Here is an 18,625-nt window from a genome sequence, read left to right as displayed (position 1 = left end):
GGGACCCCCCACCTGGCTGGGGTCAGGCTGCTGCCTAGTGGCTGAGCCACCCTAGTGCAGGCAGTTCGGGAACAAGCAGGGTGCTGGGGGCCCAGAGCTGGGGTCCTGGAAGGCCTCCCGTACCCCGGCTGCCCTCCTGTCAGAGAAGCAGGCTTTCTTTCGCCCATTTCCTGGAAAGCATCTGTGGCTTTGTCCTTCAGGCTAGCCGGCACCCTCCCCAGATGGCTGCCAGCCCTCGCGCTGCCCTGGCTGACCCAGGGGGTTCCCTGGAACAGATGACCTGGCTACCCCGACACGGCGGCAGCCCCCACCCTCCACTGTTCCTTTTGCATGGGCCTTTATTGGCATAAGACTAGCCCCCATCTTCTCCGTCTGTCCCCTAGCTCCCTTTCCTTTGTCTCTGTGGCAGCAGCGCCCCCAGGCCCTTGGCTATCTGGGCTTCGATCCTTCACTGGAGCCACTGTGGGGCCTCAGCCCTGGGCACCTGGCAGACGGGACGGTCCCATGGCCGACCTCACTCCTGAGTATGTGTTGCTGTGCCTGGTTCTCTAGTCTGGTGCCTAGTCTGGGGGCCACTCTGATCTGTGGGTTATTTAGCGGTATATTATTTAATTTCCAAATATTTAGAGATTTTGCCGATATCTGTTACCGATTTTTAGCTTCCGATATGGTTAGAGAACATGGTATGTGTGTTCACTCCTAAGGACACACACCACAGGGAAGTCACTAAGGTCCGCGTTTTAAACGCTGGGGAAACACTGGGTCATGAGGGCCTGGTGCCAGCTCCGGTTCGCTCCCTGGCAGGGCCCAGGATGGCCCCGGCCTGCACACTCGCTCATGTTGATGGTGAGGGGTCCAGCAGGGGCACGGCCCCCTGGAATGTGGCATTCCCGAGAGCCCAGGAGGACCCCTAACTGTCCGCTCCTTAATGTGTGATGTCAGACGTTGTCCGCACAGAGGCCTGAGGGCTGGAGGCTGAGAACGGTTAGGCAAGCTCCACACCAGCTTCCTTGCCTTCCAGCCTGGCGGCCCCTTCTCGAACCTGTTGGGTGGCAACTCAGTTCAACCAGCTTTACCGGGTGAGGCGGGGCCTGGGGGTTCCCAAGCCTGCAGGGATGAGGCTCTGGCAGCCCACACGCTGAAGTGCACAGTTCAGGGCAGACTCTGCTGTCCGTTGTCCCTGGATGGGGGCCGAGCTGTGCCCTGCTGTCACCGGCTCTTCTGAAGCTGGTTTGGGGGACCCCGAGAGTGGCCTCAGTCCTCACATGCATCCTGGTGGAGAGCAGGGATGCCTCATGATGGGGATAACGAGGATAACGACACTTCTGGAAGGGACGTTTCTCCCCCGTGTGCAGCTGGGTGGTGGCCGATGCCATGGCCCCTGGCAGGCTGCTGTGGCCTCCTGGGCTCCATAAGGTGGGCTGCAGCCCTTCTGTGACCAAGGCGTGTGCTGGCCATGCCGTGTGGCTGTGTGCCCCCCTGCACATGCCCTGCCCCGCTGTCCTGAGATGCTGGCGAGGGCGAGGGTGTTCGCACAGAGCAAAGCATGCCTTACTGAAGAAGTCTCCAGAAGCCTGTGACCAGGTCAAAGTGGCTGGGTGCGGGCTGGCCTTGTCCAGCCCCCTGGGGGTCTCTGCTGTCTCTTCTACTTGCCAGGTGCCAGGGCTGGGCCTCTGGGGCATCCCCAGGACCCCCAGCCCCCGGCCAGGCTGGGAGGGCTGGGAGCAGCTTTCCTCTGGAGGGCAGCGGACTTCCACTTCCGTCTGCCTCTTGGGGCCTCCTGGGCTGGGCGAATCAGAAAGCAGGTCACCAGGGACTGTCCCCCTGTGGGAGGACTGGCGGGACTGTGGAGTTAAGCAGAACCCATCAGGAAGTGCACAGGCGTCCGGCGTGCTCCTCCCTCCCTGCAGCCCCGGGCAGCATCTCCCAGAGGCTCCGCGGCCCAGGCTCCTGGTGTGTCTGCAGTGCAGGTGGCTCCTGGAAGACCCTCAGGTGGGTGGGTCTGGTGCTTTCTGAAAGGTGGCCAGGAAGGTTGGCGTTGGCCTAGTTCAGGATCCTGGCACTGATCCCCCAGAGCAGCCTGAGGCTTCCCACAGGCAGCCAGGCAGCCTCCGCCATGCGGCCCCGTCCCTTTCACGGCCCCTGGGCGGAGATGTGTTCATTTCAGTGGAATTACGGTGGCAGATGGGACCCTGCATTTCAAGCTGGGGAAGCAGGAAAGGGGCCCAGTGTTCCCAGGACTGTCTACCGTGTGGCCAGTGTTTTTATTCAGTCCCTTGTCTGTCAAAACTGTCCTGAATGGGGTGACAAAGTGCAGCGGGAAGTTGAGAAATGCCTCAAAAGACCAAGCCTGGGGCAACTATGTCTCCAGGAGCAGTGACCCAGCTCCTCTGGGCTGGAAACCAGCGTTTCCCAGCGGGGCTGGAGGCTGTCTGAGGACCACGTGGCTGCTCCCAGCCTTGCCGCAGTCCCAGTCTCAGAGGGAGTGGCTTTCAGCGGCTGAGGCCCCCACCATGCTGGCAGAAAGGGACAGCAGTGGCTGGTCCCAACATGGGTAGTTCTGTTGCAGCCACTGGGATGGGGGCCGGGCCTCATCTGGGGCAGGAGAAGAGTCCAGGGATTCACTGGTGCCCGGCACCTCAACCTGGAGAAAACACCGCAGCAGCACTCCTGGCCAGCCAAGGGCAACACTGACAGCCCCTCCCAGGGTTGCGGGGCCGGCAGGGGGTGACAGAGACACGCTCCTGTGGGCAGCTCTTCCCGGCCAGTGCAGCGACCCCGCAGCTGCAGCAGGGCTGGGTGGCCACTCTTGCATCATCAGCAGCCGGCCGTGGAGGAGGGAGGGCACAGCCAGGGATGTGAGCAGGCGTCGGTCAGGGGAATGAGGAAGTCCCACAAGAACCGGCTCCCCCAGCTGCTGTGCTGGTGGGAGGGCCACTGGCCAACCTGCTCTCACCCAGCTTGGGCTGGCCATAGTGCCAGGCAGTTGCCCTCAGCTCCTCTGCCCATTCCAGCCATGGAGGTGGCTAACCTTGCAGGCTCCAGGGCGTGATGGGAGTGTCCAGGAGGCAGAGGCCAGAGGGGGTCATGCTGTAGGGGGAGTTCCTCTCTCAGACCCCATCTGTGCCTCCCCCGCTGCGTATCTGGGTGACATGGATGCCAACGGGCAGGAGCAAGGGCTGGGAAAGGCTGCGGAGGGGCCCTCGGCTGGTCTGGTGGGGAGCGGGGTCACTGTGTCTCTGCTGCCTCCCTGGGGGATCCAGCGTGGGGATGGGACATGGAGCTGGGCACCTCTCCTGGATGCCCCTGGGCTGATCCCCCTCGATGCCCTGACGAGAGCCCTGGCCCAGCGTCTGAGAAGGAGTGGGAGCTGGGCCCGGGTGGGGGCAGGAGCCGGCATCGCTCTCAGCACTGCCCCACACTCCCCAGCCTGCCTGCTGAGGCCATGTCGGACTACGAGAACGATGACGAGTGCTGGAGCGTCCTGGAGGGCTTCCGGGTGACGCTCACCTCGGTCATCGACCCCTCACGCATCACACCTTACCTGCGGCAGTGCAAGGTCCTGAACCCCGATGATGAGGAGCAGGTGCTCAGCGACCCCAACCTGGTCATCCGCAAACGGAAAGTGGGTCAGTGTTGCCCCGCGGGCCCCAGGCCCCAAACCCAACCACAGAGTCAGCTCGGAGGTGGCTGCACGCTCTGCCACCCTGACCCTCAACCCCAGGAGAGCCCCGCCTGGCTTTGCCCCTGGCCTCTGACTGAGGCCCAACCTCAACCCTGGCACGTGGCCCGTCCCCCAGCCTCTCCTGCCGGCTTGGTGCTGCCAAGAGGGGCAGCGGGGCTCCCACCGCAGCGGGGGCTCCTGAGACAGCCAAGGGGCGGGTGGGCAGCACTTGGTCCCCAGCCTAGTACCAAGACCCGCAGGGTACCTCATCCAAGACCCAGACCACGGCACACCTCATCTGCATGCCAGCCTCCACCTGTCCCTGCCCCCAGGCCCACCCACCCCAGCCCTCTGCCTCGCCTGTGCCCCGCCCCCAGTTAGGCCTCTCTGGCCCGCAGGTGTGCTCCTGGACATCCTGCAGCGGACCGGCCACAAGGGCTACGTGGCCTTCCTCGAGAGCCTGGAGCTCTACTACCCGCAGCTGTACAAGAAGGTCACAGGCAAGGAGCCGGCCCGCGTCTTCTCCATGATCATCGGTGAGTGACGGGGGAGGCGGGGCCGACAGGGGAGGCGCTGGCGGGGAGCGGGCAGTGGTGTTGGGTCCTCTGCCTGGCCCCCATCCCTAGGAGCCCTGAGCTCCTGCCACAGCGCAGGGCGTGATGGAGCTGGGCCACCGGGGAACACGGCACCATCTGACACTGGCCTGGCCCACAGACGCGTCCGGGGAGTCAGGCCTGACTCAGCTGCTGATGACTGAGGTCATGAAGCTGCAGAAGAAGGTGCAGGACCTGACCGCGCTGCTGAGCTCCAAAGATGACTTCATCAAGGAGCTGCGGGTGAAGGACAGCCTGCTGCGCAAGCACCAGGAGCGTGTGCAGAGGCTCAAGGAGGAGTGCGAGGCCGGCAGCCGCGAGCTCAAGCGCTGCAAGGAGGAGAACTACGACCTGGCCATGCGCCTGGCGCACCAGAGTGAGGAGAAGGGCGCCGCGCTCATGCGGAACCGTGACCTGCAGCTGGAGGTGCGCCCGCTGCCCCCGGGAAACCAGGCCACCCTCGCCTGGCCTGGCGGGGTCTGCAGGCCGGGGCGGTCGGGGGTGGCCCCACGGGTCTGCGGTCACCGCCTGGAGGGGACAGCCAGGCTCACTGGACCTTCTGCAGATTGACCAGCTCAAGCACAGCCTCATGAAGGCCGAGGACGACTGCAAGGTGGAGCGCAAGCACACGCTGAAGCTCAGGCACGCCATGGAGCAGCGGCCCAGCCAGGAGCTGCTGTGGGAGCTGCAGCAGGAGAAGGCCCTGCTCCAGGCCCGGGTGCAGGAGCTGGAGGCCTCCGTCCAGGTGGGGCCGTAGGCAGGGCAGGTGCAGCCCAGGCAGGGCAGTGGGGGCCTTCCCAGCCAGGCCATTGCCTTTTGCCCCCTTCAGGAGGGGAAGCTGGACAGGAGCAGCCCCTACATCCAGGTACTGGAGGAGGACTGGCGGCAGGCGCTGCGGGACCACCAGGAGCAGGCCAACACCATCTTCTCCCTGCGCAAGGACCTCCGCCAGGGCGAGGCCCGACGCCTCCGGGTAGGAGGGCAGGCGGGGAGACATGGCCCCTGGGGTCCAAGCCAGGCTGGACGGGCTGAGCTCCGCCCACTCCGTGCCTGGAAGGTGGGGTGTGGAGACCCCAGTGCAGCGCCTCCACTCACCCACTCCTGGAGGCACAGTGGACGGTGCCCTCTCCTTGCCCGCCTGCCCCCCATGGCAAAGGCCAACCTCTGGGCTCATGGTGCCTGAGGCACAGCAGTGTCTGAGGCCTGCCGGAGGGCCCTGTCCTGCCGCGGTCTGGAAGTGCAGGGCTGGTAGGGGCCTGGGGACTCCTATGGCCTCCCCCGACATCCCAACTGGCCTGACCACATGCTTCTGAGCCCCTGCCCGGAGTATACCCCAAGGGCCAGAATGGGGGGCCTCAGGCCTGTGGGGGCTGAGCTGCCGCCCCCTGCAGTGCATGGAGGAGAAGGAGATGTTCGAGCTGCAGTGCCTGGCACTACGTAAGGACTCCAAGATGTACAAGGACCGCATCGAGGCCATCCTGCTGCAGATGGAGGAGGTCGCCATTGAGCGGGACCAGGTGGGCACTCGCAGGGGCAGGACAAAGCACCCCACTCGCGGGTGGGTGCACCAGGGCCACGGCCCTTGAGGGCAGTTGTCAGAGGATTTTTAATCTTTGTTATTTGTTTTTGAGATGGGGTCTTGCTATGTCACCCAGGGTGGCCTCAAACTACTGGCCTCAAGCAATCCTCCGGCCTCAGCCTCCCAAAGTGCTGGGATTGCAAGCTGAGCTGCCACACCTGGTCTGTTTTTTAAATGACAGAAGCAATACTTAACACTAAAAAAAAGTAAACGATGATGAAGTCAATACTTCCCCACCCCAGCCTACTGTCAGGGAAAACCGTGTTCAACCTTCCCGCTCCACCTTACAGACTTACCTGTCATCTATCCATGTATCCATCTGTCTATCATCTATCACCTATCTATCTATTTATATATTTGGTTTTGTTTTACAAAAATGGAAACATTCTGTCTTGTTTTACCAGTAGCTTTTTTTAATCTTAAAAAAAGCTTGGCTGGACGTGGTGTCTCTCGCCTGTCATCCCAGCACTTTGGGAGGCTGAGGCGGGCGGATCACTTGAGCCCAGGAGTTCCAGAGCAGCCTGGGCAACACGGTGAGATCCCTGCTCTACAAAAAAATGCAAAAATTGGCCTGGCGCGGTGGCTCACGCCTATAATCCCAGCACTCTAGGAGGGCGAGGCAGGCGGCTCACTTGAGGTCAGGAGTTCGAGACCAGCCTGGCCAGTATGGGGAAACCCCGTCTCTACTAAAAACACAAAAATTAGCCTGGTGTGGTTCCGGGCGCCTGTAATCCCAGCTACTCAGGAGGCTGAGGCAGGAGAATTGCTTGAACCCAGGAGGCAGAGGTTGCAGTGAGCTGAGATCACGCTACTGTACTCCAGCCTGGGTGACAGAGCGAGACTCCGTCTCAAAAAAAAAAAAAATTAACTGGTCGTGGTGGCGCATGCCTGTGGTCCCAGCTATTTAGGAGGCTGAGGCTGCAGCAAGTCACCATTGCGCTATTGCACTCCAGCCTGGGCCACGGGAGTGAGGCCTGCAAGGCCTCCAGTGCTACGTGCTGTGAGCCGGATGGAGCGTCGCGGGGCAGGGCTGTGTCTGCTTCCCATGCCCCGTCCCAAGTCCCATCCTGGAGGTTGTTTCCAATGGACACCATTGCTGCTTCGGCTAAATGCTGGATGGCACTTTGTCCACATCAGGAGCCTTAAAACGAGACCCCTGGGGCTACAAAGGAAGCCCCGGCCCCCATGAGAGCAGCCCAGGCTCAGAGCTCCTGTCTCAGCCCCACCTCAGCCTCACTCGCGCCTGGCCCACGCCAAGGCAGGGGAAAAGGGCAGATCCAGCTGTGCCCCCATGGGGGTTGGTGTGGCTCCCAGGGCGGGGGCTCCCACGGGACTTCCCGGGAGCGCGTTGGCCAGGGATTAGGGAAGCTGCCAGCCGTTGCTCCAGTCTGGGCAGAAGGGGTTAGGTGAGGGCCTCCCAGCCTCGGCTGCAGGGGTGGTCAAGCCGTCGTGTTTGCACATTCGCTCCTGCGTCTCAGTGTCCGCAGTGAGGACAGGGGTGGTAAAGAGTGCTGCGGTCACGAAGGACGCTTAGCTATGGACAGTCAGGGTCTCCATATCAAGCCGCGTCCAAAATTTATCAAATGTGCACGTGTGGGGGTACATAGCACACGCTGTGTCCACCGGGGGTGCAGGCTTGGGAGGAGACAGAAGGGCAGCAGGGACAACTGTCACATTTACAATCCCCCACGTGCTGACTTCGTGTCCGCAGAGCACACAAATGGAGGGGCTGTGACCAGCCTCCGCGCCCAGCGGCTTGACGTCCTCCGGAGCCTCTGCTTGGAGTTGGGCGGCCGGGCCGAGGGCCCAGGGCAAGCTTGGGGCCCTCACTGAGGGTCGGCCTTGTGCTGTCCCGTCAGGCCATAGCCACGCGGGAGGAGCTGCACGCACAGCACGCCCGGGGCCTGCAGGAGAAGGACGCGCTGCGCAAGCAGGTGCGGGAGCTGGGCGAGAAGGCGGATGAGCTGCAGCTGCAGGTGTTCCAGTGTGAGGCGCAGCTACTGGCCGTGGAGGGCAGGCTCAGGCGGCAGCAGCTGGAGACGCTCGTCCTGGTGGGCCTGGGGCCTGCGGCAGGGAGGGGAGCCGGCGCGTGGGATGCAGGGCCAGGGGAGCACGGAGCCTCAGCCCCGGCCTTCCCGACCCAACCCTTCTCTGTGACGGGCCCCAACCTAACCAAACCCCTCCTGGCAGTGGGGTGAGGGCACACGAGCAGTTCAGGGTCCCAGCAGGAAGTGGGGCTGCAGGGCCGGGGTGGGTCCTGGGCCTGGCCATCAGGCAGCCTAGCAGGTTGTTCTGGGCATGGAGGGGGCCTGGTGTGGCTGAGGGCATGCCCAGGGCTCCCTGGAGGATCCCGCTCTGTGCCCTGCCCACCCTGTGCCTGGGGAGCCCTCTGCCCTCACAGCCCACCCACCCCATTTTCTATGACCACAGAGCTCCGACCTGGAAGATGGCTCACCCAGGAGGTCCCAGGAGGTGAGTGAGACCCCAGCCAGCACGAGGCTGGCCTTCCTTCACCTGGGGTCCTGGCTGAGCTGCCACCAGGCATAGCCCCACACTGCCCGTCACATGGCCCTGCTCGGTGGGCTGGGCTGGGTGGAGGAAGAGCAGGTGGCCAAATGCTAAGGCCTCTGATGGCTCAAGGGGTAAGGTAAGGCACGGACAGTGCCCACCTCCTGGCCGCCCAATGTCCGTCTGCTGGGCACCTGAGTCTCTGAGAAGCTCTGTGCAGGGGGTGACGGCAATGGCTGCACCCAGCTGAGGGCCAAGGGCTGGGGTGGGCAGTGTGGCCGGGTCCAGTCCTTGGCGAAGTGGCCTAATGGGACATCTTGACTCTCTTTGGAAGCTCTCACTCCCCCAGGACCTGGAGGACACCCAGCTCTCAGACAAAGGTGAGGTGGGGACAGCAGTACACCCAGAGGCCTCCCAGCTTCCCCAAGTGAGGCCCATCTTCAGCACAGGCAGCCCGTGCCGCAATGCCTGTGTCAACCCCCACAACCCCCACTCCACAGACAGGGAAACTGGGGCTGGGGATAAGTAAAATGGTCAAGGTCACCTAGAGAACAAACTACAGAGCCCAGCTGGAACCCAGGGCCCCAGCTAGTGGGACAAGTGTCCCCTGGGGTGGAGAGTGTGGGGGTCTGGGCAGCCCCCATGGGCTGCAGAGGTGAGCAGGCCCACCGTCCTGAGAGTGTGGGGCCCCTCTGGGCAGCCCCCACGGGGTGCAGAGGTGAGCAGGCCCAGTCCTGGCTGCTCCAAGCTTCCTCCTGGACAGAGGGAGGTGGTAACGAGCGAACGACCAGGTGCATGAAGCTAGAAGATGGGGCGAGATGGGGCCCCACGTGGCTTGAGGGAAAGGGCTGAATGCAGGGGTGGCCAAGGGCCTGCTGTGTCCCGGTGCAGTGGGGGTAAGGCAGTGGCAGGGGCTTCTAGCGGGCAGGGCAGGCCCCCTCTGCCTGTCTGGGGGAAGGACTGGGTGGCTAGCTGGGAGCAGCTCCCGAGTGTCCAGGAGTGGGCAGTGGTGATGAGGTAGGTGTTTGCACTGAAGGTGCTGTCAGGTAGGGGTTGGGGAGGGCCCAGCAGAGGGGTCCTGGGAGGCTGCACCGGAGTTGGACAAGCTTCCTGAGTACCAGGCCGTGGCCTCCAAGCAGAGGCGGAAGGGGAAGGAGGAGCCGCAGACGGGGAAGTGAAGACCAGCGCCTTTGGCTGCAGCTCAGAACACTTGAACATGGGGATGCCAAGCCCCCATGTAGGCACAGAGGCGAGCAGGACCCAGGAGTCCGGCTCAGGCACTGCCCCCATCCCCCTGGGTGGCTGTGGCAGGAGCAGGGGCAGGTGTGAAGGTTGGAGGGTGAGCAGGGGAGGGGCTGGCTCTAAGGGGCTGCCAATGGCCAGGACAGCCCTGGCCTGGCCCTCACCGCAGTGGGGCTGAGACTGGACGTGCGTGGTTTCTGCCCAAGGGTCCTGATCCCTGGTCTGCCCAGGTCCTGGCGGTTTCTGAGGGGGTCCAGCCGCCTGAAGGTTCTCTCCCAATTGCTGCAGTACCCCTGCCCCCACTTCAGGAGGACCCAGACAGCCACTGTAGCTGTCCCCAACTCTCTCCCCAGGGCCGCCATGCCCACAGATGCTTTGGAGTGATGGGGGACGGTGCTGCTCAGGCCCAGGGTTTAAGTTCCCCCGAGGTCTGGGAGGCGTTCCTCCCTGGCAGGCAGCCAGCTCGGGGGAGGGATGGTCACTGGCGGGAGCGTTGGGCCTGGGCTGGCATCTGGCGGCCTCCTGGAGCAATGAACAGGCAAGCGAGGCCATAAGGCCTCAGTCTCATCTACAGAAAGCAGAGTCTACACTGGACCCATGTGGGGATCCCACCAGGCCTTGGAAGACAGCCCCACTGCAATGCCGGGGAGGGGTGGGGCAGCCGTGCTATACGTGGCCCAGCAGATGGGCAGGTCCCACAGGCACGACTCTCCTTTCCAGGCTGCCTTGCCGGCGGGGGGAGCCCGAAACAGCCCTTTGCAGCTCTGCACCAGGAGCAGGTTTTGCGGAACCCCCATGTAAGGCTTCCCCGGGGTGGGGTCCTCCCAGCCGTGGGCCTCAGGGTGACCGATCACAGGGAGAGTGGCTCCCTGCCCTGGGCACCCCCTGCGGTGGCCCCGACGACAGCTGAGGAGTGACCACAAGGTCTCTGCCCACAGTGCTCGGGGTGCGGTGTCTGGGCTGCGAAGTGGATCCCCCTTTCTTGGGCACTGCAGCAGCTTGGGGGGCTTTTTGGACGTGGATGTGCCTGGTCCTGGTTTTCCGAGGGCCTTTACAGTGGATGAGGAGGTGAACACAGGAGTCCTGAGAGCAAGCACCACCTCGGGCTTTGTTGTAGAAACAATGGCCCGGACCCCAGGCTGGAGCCGTGGCTTGGCCTCCTGGGTGTGTCTTGGCATCTGAAATGCAGGCTACCCACACCGGCTCACCTCCAGGGGTACAGGCAGGTCCCACAGGGAGAGCTTGGCGCTGAGCTGAGGCTGTCTGGGCTCCTCGCCTCCCAACCAGTCTGCAGTTACAGGGGCCAGTGGGGGGCGGGTGAGAAGGACGGGTTCCCTCAGGGGAGCCGGCCGGAGCCCGAGCCTTCCCCCTTCTCCAGGACGCAGGCCTGAGCAGCGGGGAGCCGCCCGAGAAGGAGCGGCGGCGCCTCAAAGAGAGTTTTGAGAACTACCGCAGGTAGGCGGGCGGCCCCCAGGCTTCTCCAAAACGGGCTGGGGAGCGGCAGCCGGGTCGCGCCTGAGACACCTGTCTTCACAGGAAGCGCGCCCTCAGGAAGATGCAGAAAGGATGGCGGCAGGGGGAGGAGGACCGGGAGAACACCACGGGCAGCGACAACACCGACACTGAGGGCTCCTAGCCGCAGCAGCGCAGGCCCCGACCAGGGCACACCCACCGGCCCGGCCTCCTGCCACCCGGGGGTGCCGACGCCCTGGGGCGCAGACTTCCCCGAGCCGTCGCTGACTTGGCCTGGAACGAGGAATCTGGTGCCCTGAAAGGCCCAGCCGGACTGCCGGGCATTGGGGCCGTTTGTTAAGCGGCACTCATTTTGCGGAGGCCATGCGGGTGCTCACCACCCCCATGCACACGCCATCTGTGTAACTTCAGGATCTGTTCTGTTTCACCATGTAACACACAATACATGCATGCATTGTATTAGTGTTAGAAAACACAGCTGCGTAAATAAACAGCACGGGTGACCCGCATTCCCGCTCGGACACTCGCGCGCAGCCCCGCGGCCGTCCCTCCTCGCTGCGGCCCGCGGTGTCCTCGGGGTGCGAGCTGCACGTGGACGCAGGGCCCCCTCAGGCCGCCAGGGGGCGGCATAGCGCAGCGCGCCCCCGACCCGGAAGACGGAAGCCCAAGAACGCCGCTTCCGCCCGGCGCCCACTTCCAAGATGGCGGCGGGGCGGGGCCGGGGCAGGGCGGACGGAGCCGGCGAGCGGGATGCTGCGGACTGCGCTGCGCGGCGCGCCGAGGTTGCTGAGTCGCGTGCAGCCCCGGGCGCCCTGCCTGAGGCGGCTGTGGGGCCGCGGGGCCCGTCCAGAGGTCGCGGGGAGGCGGCGGGCCTGGGCCTGGGGCTGGCGGCGCTCAAGCTCCGAGCAGGGGCCGGGGCCCGCGGCGGCTCTGGGGCGCGTGGAGGCGGCGCACTACCAGCTCGTCTACACCTGCAAGGTAGGCGCGCGGCGGGACGGAACCGGGGACAGACCCGTATCTGACGCTACACGGCCTGCGGGGAGAAGCGGCCCGCCGGGGATCCGGGAGGCGGCGTGGTCAAGTCACAGGAAGGAGTGGAGCCACCCCTTGGGGCTTCTGGGAGGGAGCGGAGGCGGACCATGAGGAGGGGTGGAGCCGTCCCTGGGGCGGGGCCTTCCCGGGAGAGGGCGAGGTTGGGGGTGGGTGGAGCTATCCCTCGGGGGCGGGGCCTTCTCTGGAGAGGGTGAGGTGGCTGGAGCTACCCCTAGAGGGGCGGGTCTTCCCGGGAGGGGCGTGGCGGCCCTCACAGCCTCACCAGCTACCCTGTCCCAGCCAGGTCTGCGGGACTAGGTCCTCCAAGCGCATCTCCAAGCTGGCCTATCACCAAGGCGTGGTCATTGTGACCTGCCCCGGCTGCCAGAACCACCATATCATCGCTGACAACCTGGGCTGGTTCTCGGACCTGAATGGGAAGAGGTGAGGCCTGTACCCCAGGGCTGGGCCAGAAGGCCACCCAGAAGTACCCTGGCCTCCCTGGGGGAACCTTGCCCTAGTGTTGAGGTTTATAGATCTCACCTGGGAAATCCAGCCACCTTATCAATACAAGACACACAGTTAAATGAGAATTTCCTATAAAGCCCAGATAGCTTTTGAGTTTAAGTATGCCCCAAGTAGGGGGTGCGTTTTTATTTGTTAAATTTTGCCAGCCCTGTGGCCCTGCCTCCCTGCCTCTGCCTGCCCTCTGCCATCACTGGCAGCCTTGTCCCTCTCTAGCGTGGAACTTTTTTGCCCTCTGCCATCTTGGGGTGGCTGGCCCACAGCAAGGCTTGGGGTGTGGACCAGGAGGTGTGGCCTGGGCCCTGGCTGCTGGGAGAGCAGTGGAGGTGGTGCCGGGAGCCTGGTCCGGGCCTTGCCTGGCCGGGAGGTCCTGGGCAGGACAGTAACAGCGACAGCAGGTCTGAGACCAGCATGCCAGGTGCTTGGTGGTACCTGGCCCTTGGAGCTGGGACTGTCCTCCCATCAGACCCGGGGCTGCAGATTCTTCCCTCTGGCACATAGGGGGCAGGAGCAGGAGACTGGGTTCCTGAGGCGGCGCATACCGGCAGAGACACAGGGCTGGTGAGGGCACACAGGCCAGCGTCTGAAGTGCCCGTGTGGCCTGATGCCACAGGAGTGCTGGGCCTGGTGCTTGCAGCTCTGGCCTGGCCATGGGGCGCCCTGAGGGGACTGAAGTGCAGGGCGGCTGGGGGGCCCTGAAGAGCCATGTTGCCTCCCTGCCCCCCAGAAATATCGAAGAGATCCTGACGGCCAGAGGCGAGCAGGTGCACCGTGTGGCGGGCGAGGGGGCCCTGGAACTGGTTCTGGAGGCTGCAGGGGCCCCCACATCCACTGCAGCTCCGGAAGCGGGTGAGGATGAGGGTCCCCCCAGCCCTGGCAAGACGGAGCCGAGCTGACTCCTGCGCTCCCCGGCACTGTGGGACTTCGGCCTTCCAGAAGGAGGTTTTGGCCCTGGGCCTCTCTGGACGTGGCCTGTTTTCTATCAATAAACAGACATTACTTCCAGATGCTGGGGCCTGTGGCCCTCGTGGCCTTTCTTTTTCTGGAGTTAGAACGATTGCTCTGAATCCCTGGTGCTGCTGGGTGGGACATAGGAGCCGCAGGACCTCTCGCCTCACCACAGTTCCTTCTACACAGAGTCACCCAGCTCTTGCCCACAGAGGCCACAGTCGCGTGGAAAGGGGGCTGGATGTGGCGTCAGAGCCCTTCCTGGCTGTCGCTGCGTGACTTTGAGCAGGTCACCACCCCTGTGAGCCTCAGCCTTCCTCTGCAAGGCCCTTGCCGCCCCCCTGGCCAGCTCTGGCGGCCTCCCTTCCGTGAGCCAGTGCAGACCTGAGCCCTGGTCCTCGGCCGCCGGCCGTCGGCGAAACAGTGAGCAAACCAGGCTGCCTGCTGGCCCAGGCAGGACGAGCAGCTATGGCGTGGCCGTGTGTTAGGAGCTCCAGACCCCTCCCGGGGGAGCCACCTGGGCCTCCTTCCCTCGGTGGACAGCGCTCTGGACGTCCCCAGGGCCCTCCGAGGTGTGTGGGGTTTGTCTCCCAGCCTTGTCTGTGCGCAGGATGTTCCCGTGTTTATGAAAGCGAGCAAACACAGCAGCCTGTTTATTTGCAGAAGCGTTCTGGGCAGCGTAACCTTCAGCATTCATCACCCGCCACACTCCGGCAGGGAAGAGAATGGGGCGAGGTGGGAGGTGGAGGCAGGACTGAGCACGACAGGGACCCAGTGCGGCCCCTCCCAGCGGGACACGGCCAGGACTGCCAGCTCACATCCGGCCCGTGGGAGGCCGGGGCGCGGCGGCATCGTTCCCAGTGTGCTTGTGGCGTGGGCTTTGCCTCGATTACCCCCTGTCCTTCTTTCAGCCAACAACCCTCTATTATTCCCACCCAGAGCCTTCTGTGCCATTTGTGGAAACTGTCCTCTTCTCGGCTGAGCCACCGGCACCCAGGCCTGCTCCTCCATGGAGGCACTGGCTGGGGGTCTCTTGGGGGCTTGGAAGTGCAGTGGGGCTGGGCTTGGCTTGGCTGCCTCACTGCCTCCAGAGGGCCTGGACCAGCATGTGGGGAGGTCCAGGGAGCCGTCTGGACCTGGAAGTGCAGAATTAGAGCAAGGAGAGCCGCTTGGGCCAACCCCTCCTCTTACGGATGGGGAGATGGCGGCTGGTAGTTGGGATGTGGACGTTACCATGTCTTTTCTGTCTGATGCCAGCACCTCTGGGCCCAGGCTGGCCCTGGAGGGAAATCCTTCCCAAGGCTGGCACGTTCCTAGAGAAGACCTATGGCTACCCCCCGCGTGCCAGAAGCATCCCGCCAGCTCCTGCCTGAGGCCCCCTGGACCCTGTCTCCCTCCGCCCTTCCCTCCCCGCAGCCCCAATCCCACAGCCAGGTTTCTGCAAGGGGCTTTGCCATCCTAATCTCCTGCCACTCTACACCCCCCCGCCCCAGGACATCCCTGCCTCCCGGGCACGGTTGCTGGCCTGGGCATCCCTCGTCACAGCGTCTCTCCAAGCAGGTTCCTCGGCCGCACCTTCAGAGGCTGTCCCAGCCAGTAGCGTGGGCGGCACTGCTGCGCTTCCCTGGCTGTGCGCGGTCCTGGGCCCTGCACGGTTACTTGGACCCTGTGTGCGTGTACCACCACACGCAAGCTGGCTGGGACCCTGGACCTGGAGTACACGTTGATTCTGGTTCCCAAGGCCCCTTCTGGGGTGGAGGAGGCAACGGAGTCAACCAGCACAGAGGCTGTGGCTGCCAACATGGCCAGGTGGGCTGTGGCGAGGGGCAGCAGGACTGCCCGGCGCACCTGTGTGTCCCCTGACGGGGGCCCCGTGGGGGTGCCACCCACCACAAGCAGCGCCCAGACAAGCCCCAAGACTGCAGATCTGCCGTCGGCTCCTCCACTGTGGCTCAGTGTCCAGACCCTGAGCCCAGCCGGATCAGACTCCAGGAAAGGACCTCCCTCCCCCGGGTGCTGGGTGGGCGGCAGCAGGCTGGGTCCTCAGGGGGTCGTGGGGCTGACCTGGGGGCTGCTGCTTCTGGGGGCTGGTCCCGGCCACGTGAGTGTCAGCTCAGAGCATGCTCTGTTTCCCTAGGGGCTGGGAGCGTGAGGAGGTAGGGGTGCAGGAATCAGTGGTGACAGCAGGCAGCCACTTCACCCCTCTGTGCCCCAGCTCCCCCGTGGTTAAATGCAGTGGGAACTCCATCTCTCTGAGGTCTCAGAGGGCCCAGACAGTGGGTATCTGTGGACACTTTGCACAGTGCAGCCTCTTACCGGGTTAGGCCCCCACCCGGGACTAAGCCCATACGGACCACACTCACTTGGCCGACTTTATTTTTCAGGAAAAACAGAAAAACAAATGTACCTCTTGGGTTGGAAAGGACCCATTGACAACATGGCACAGACGTGAGCAATAAATACGCACATACATTCAAGTATGCGGGGGGGCGCTACGTCCTGGAGACCCTGTGTTCGGGCACCTGTCCCTGCTCTCGGGTGCGGCCCTGCCCCTCCAGAAGCAGGTCACCTCACCAGGCCCAGATCTGCCTCTCCATCCTAGCCTGAGAGTGGGGCCTAGAGGCACCCTCCTAGATGGAACTGCCAGCCCTGGGGGCTGTGGGGCCATGGTAGGGCCCTTGGCAGTCTTGGGAGGTGCCAAGGCTGGGTCTGGACAGGAGGAGGCAACCTCAGGCCCCTGGGGCCCATCTCAGGCTCCAGCAGGTCCTGCCAGTCCTAGGATCCCGAACTTGGTGCCCTGTGAGCCCCCTCCCCATGGAGAGAGCAGTGATGTCATCTCCCCCAGCTGGTGGGAGGAGGGGGGTTCTCATATGGGGGGTCTGCAGGGTTGAGCTGAGTGAAGCCTCCCCAGCTTCCACTGACCACCCCCCCACTTGGGTGAGGGTCACAGAGCCTGGTGCTACCTCCCACCCTGACTGGGCACTGCTCTTGCTGCCAGTAAGCATCCCTAGGACCAGGCCCTGCCCTTTTTCCTGGCTTGGGGTTTTGGAATGTCGAAGTTCATGCCCAGCCATTCCCTCTGCTTTAGAGATAGGCCCGGCTCCTGTCGAGGCCCCTGCAGGGCCCTGGGACTCGGCGGGGGGCACCTCAGGGCTGCCACTGCAGCCTGGTCTGCCATGCGTGGTCTGGGGGGCCTTCTGTGGTTGCTGACCTCTGGCCGGGGAGTGGGGAGACAGGCTTGGAGGGAGCCCTGCCCCAGGACGAAGCTGGAGGGGTGGAGCATGCCTGTCACACGGCCATCCCAAGACCAGCTCTGGGGGGACAGAACATGGCCCTGTCCTTGGTGGCCCCAAGAGGCGGCTCAGAGACACCTTTGGGGAGGGTGGGGGAGACAGCAGGGTTTCACATTTGGCAGGGCAGGGCAGAACGGGAAGGGCTTGGGGGAGAGGATGCGGGAGTCTGACAGCACCAGGTCGGGGCCGACATGCCGAAGGCCCCGTCCGGCCTGCGGCAGGGGCAGAAGGGAGGAAGCTGAGGGCCATGGGGGCCAGCCCGGGATGGAAGCACGCCCTCCCACCACGGGCAGCTTGGCCTGAGCCTGTCGCCCTGGGTCGGGGAGGCCGTGGGGCTGCATGCCCAGTGCCTGTCCTCGGCAATGGCCTCGGGAGGACGTGGCTGTGACTGTGAGACCGGCGTCCAGGAGTGGGGGCAGGGTGGGCCTGGCGGTGGGCACAGGGCCTTAGCTCGCACCAGGCTGGCACTGCTGCTGGGGCTCGGGCGGGCCGCCTGCCCCCTGCTCCGGGCCCCCGGCGAGGTCCACCCGCTGCTCGTCCATGCGCTTAGCCTGCACCCTCTGAATGAGGCTGAAGAAGTCCTCGTCCGGCATGGTAGGGCCCCGGGGCAGTACGTCAGGTGGCGGGCAGCGCTGGTCATCGATCCTGGAGGACTGGGTGGACACAGTGCAGTTGGCGGCCTCACCCCCCCAGCCCCAGTGGTCCGGGGCTGGTCAGCAGCGGTGGTTCCAGAGGCCAGCGTGCACTGTTCACGGGCTTCCCCCTGTCCACCCAGGAAATTGGTTCTGGGGCCTGCCTCGCTCTGGGGTCTTGTGCTGGGAGCCCGGGCCCTGAGCGCAGTCTTCTGGTGGCCCCGCCACCAACCCGCAGGAGCCCAGGGCAGGCCCGCCCAGGAAAAGCAGGTCCAGCGATTCCCACTGGGCATGGGTGTGCCAGGCCCAGGAGACAGTGGCTAGGGCGGCGTTGGATGCCTGCTCCCCACATCTGCTGATCCCCAGGGACGGGCATGCGTGGCCGTCCCTCTGCCCAGCCCTGGAAACCAGCACAGCCTGGGACTGACCCTGGCAGGCCTGAGGTCTCAGCTTCCAGAGCCCGAAGTGTGGCGCCCCCCAGGGCTTCCCCTTGTGTCAGGTGGCTGACCCCGTGGGCCTCGCCTGCTCCAGTGTGCAGGCCAGGGGGCCAAGGGGTTGTCTGGGCTTCTCTGAAGCGCCTGGAGCAGGAGGGACGGGAGCTGGCGCAGGCATGCGTGTGGATGGGGGACTCTGGGCCTCTTGGGTGGGGCTGGTTTGGAGGTGGCTGGTCGGACGCCTGGCCCCGGGCCGAGGTTTCCTCTCTGCTGTGGGGAGGACGGCAGACCTGGAAACGTGCTGGCTTGGTTCGTGGTGGGCCAAGCGGCCTCCACCCCCAGCCTGTTCCCAAGTCTACGGACCCTGAACCCCTTCCCAGCAATGGCTGCACCCCACAGGGATGGCGAGACCCCCAGAGTTTGAGGTCCTAGTTGGGATAGCAGTTGGCTCAGCAGTCTCCACTCCGGCCACCCTACCTGGCTCACCCCCACACAGATGAGGAGGTCATTCCTGGCGTGGCTGCCAGGCTGGAGCCCCGGCCCTGGCTCTGCCCTCTGGGGCTGGACCCTCCGCCCATGCCGTCCACTGTGTGGTCCCTGGATGGTCCCTGTTTTTGTCCCACCAGCCAGCTGGCAGCCCTGGATCCCCCTGCCCTCCCCACTCTGGGGGTGCTATCTGGCCCGTGTTTTCCCTGCCGGGTG

At 64.5% G+C, this 18,625-nt stretch overlaps 3 protein-coding genes and 1 long non-coding RNA gene across 8 annotated transcripts in view, besides 7 other annotated features; 2 read left to right on the top strand and 2 right to left on the bottom strand.

Annotated features, from left to right (window-relative positions):
* Window positions 960-1,673: an enhancer, noted in NCBI's record as "H3K4me1 hESC enhancer chr9:139268303-139269016 (GRCh37/hg19 assembly coordinates)". NCBI's record gives its function as "activates a minimal SCP1, AML or CMV promoter by ChIP-STARR-seq in primed H9 embryonic stem cells {active_cell/tissue: H9 hESC(primed)}" and the evidence as "EXISTENCE:reporter gene assay evidence [ECO:0000049][PMID:30033119]".
* Window positions 1,693-1,987: an enhancer, noted in NCBI's record as "tiled region #3996; HepG2 Activating DNase unmatched - State 1:Tss, and K562 Activating DNase matched - State 1:Tss". NCBI's record gives its function as "activates a minimal TATA promoter and a strong SV40 promoter by Sharpr-MPRA in HepG2 and K562 cells {active_cell/tissue: HepG2 | K562}" and the evidence as "EXISTENCE:reporter gene assay evidence [ECO:0000049][PMID:27701403]".
* On the top strand, window positions 1,855-11,568 carry CARD9 (caspase recruitment domain family member 9). Of its 2 annotated transcripts, none has more exons than NM_052814.4 (13): window positions 1,855-1,992; window positions 3,430-3,629; window positions 4,063-4,200; window positions 4,379-4,683; window positions 4,823-5,002; window positions 5,087-5,230; window positions 5,649-5,774; window positions 7,696-7,887; window positions 8,267-8,308; window positions 8,679-8,724; window positions 10,307-10,383; window positions 10,965-10,971; window positions 11,362-11,568. In NM_052814.4, the coding sequence occupies exons 2-13, from the start codon at window positions 3,446-3,448 to the stop codon at window positions 11,397-11,399; spliced, it is 1,479 nt and encodes a 492-aa protein (NP_434701.1). In that variant the 5' UTR covers window positions 1,855-1,992; window positions 3,430-3,445; the 3' UTR covers window positions 11,400-11,568. The 2 variants fall into 2 exon arrangements, with proteins under 2 accessions (NP_434701.1, NP_434700.2); NM_052813.5 differs by having other exon boundaries at window positions 10,965-11,041; window positions 11,123-11,568.
* Window positions 6,227-12,155, bottom strand: LOC124902309 (uncharacterized). The gene is made up of 2 exons (XR_007061863.1): window positions 12,072-12,155; window positions 6,227-7,900 (listed from the first exon to the last, which is right to left on the bottom strand). It is a non-coding gene; the product is annotated as an uncharacterized LOC124902309 (long non-coding RNA).
* Window positions 9,423-10,312: an enhancer, noted in NCBI's record as "H3K4me1 hESC enhancer chr9:139259664-139260553 (GRCh37/hg19 assembly coordinates)". NCBI's record gives its function as "activates a minimal SCP1, AML or CMV promoter by ChIP-STARR-seq in naive H9 embryonic stem cells {active_cell/tissue: H9 hESC(naive)}" and the evidence as "EXISTENCE:reporter gene assay evidence [ECO:0000049][PMID:30033119]".
* Window positions 10,313-11,203: an enhancer, noted in NCBI's record as "H3K27ac-H3K4me1 hESC enhancer chr9:139258773-139259663 (GRCh37/hg19 assembly coordinates)". NCBI's record gives its function as "activates a minimal SCP1, AML or CMV promoter by ChIP-STARR-seq in naive H9 embryonic stem cells {active_cell/tissue: H9 hESC(naive)}" and the evidence as "EXISTENCE:reporter gene assay evidence [ECO:0000049][PMID:30033119]".
* Window positions 11,415-11,514: a silencer, noted in NCBI's record as "silent region_20510". NCBI's record gives its function as "represses an Ori minimal core promoter by ATAC-STARR-seq in GM12878 lymphoblastoid cells {active_cell/tissue: GM12878}" and the evidence as "EXISTENCE:reporter gene assay evidence [ECO:0000049][PMID:35858748]".
* Window positions 11,545-12,044: a silencer, noted in NCBI's record as "silent region_20509". NCBI's record gives its function as "represses an Ori minimal core promoter by ATAC-STARR-seq in GM12878 lymphoblastoid cells {active_cell/tissue: GM12878}" and the evidence as "EXISTENCE:reporter gene assay evidence [ECO:0000049][PMID:35858748]".
* On the top strand, window positions 11,780-16,041 carry DNLZ (DNL-type zinc finger). 2 transcript variants are annotated; one of them, NR_073565.2, is made up of 3 exons: window positions 11,780-12,037; window positions 12,392-12,535; window positions 13,344-16,041. NR_073565.2 is itself a non-coding variant. In NM_001080849.3 (3 exons), exons 1-3 carry the CDS (start codon window positions 11,810-11,812, stop codon window positions 13,510-13,512), a joined length of 537 nt encoding a protein of 178 aa, NP_001074318.1. In that variant the 5' UTR covers window positions 11,780-11,809; the 3' UTR covers window positions 13,513-16,041. The 2 variants fall into 2 exon arrangements, 1 of the variants encoding a protein (NP_001074318.1); NM_001080849.3 differs by having other exon boundaries at window positions 12,396-12,535.
* Window positions 12,145-12,424: a silencer, noted in NCBI's record as "silent region_20508". NCBI's record gives its function as "represses an Ori minimal core promoter by ATAC-STARR-seq in GM12878 lymphoblastoid cells {active_cell/tissue: GM12878}" and the evidence as "EXISTENCE:reporter gene assay evidence [ECO:0000049][PMID:35858748]".
* GPSM1 (G protein signaling modulator 1) overlaps window positions 15,923-18,625 on the bottom strand; it is a 32,063-nt gene continuing 29,360 nt past the window's right edge. For all 3 annotated transcript variants that reach the window (NM_001145638.3, NM_001145639.2, NM_001200003.2), the window contains one exon: window positions 15,923-17,510. In NM_001145638.3, coding sequence (NP_001139110.2) covers window positions 17,304-17,510 — 207 coding nt within the window. In that variant the 3' untranslated portion in view covers window positions 15,923-17,303. The remainder of the gene's footprint in view (window positions 17,511-18,625) is intronic.

This window comes from Homo sapiens, chromosome 9 (assembly GCF_000001405.40).
Source record: "Homo sapiens chromosome 9, GRCh38.p14 Primary Assembly".
Lineage (NCBI taxonomy): Eukaryota > Metazoa > Chordata > Mammalia > Primates > Hominidae > Homo > Homo sapiens.
The sequence above is the reverse complement of the archived record's forward strand: the minus strand, read 5'-3'. Positions and strand labels throughout refer to the sequence as shown.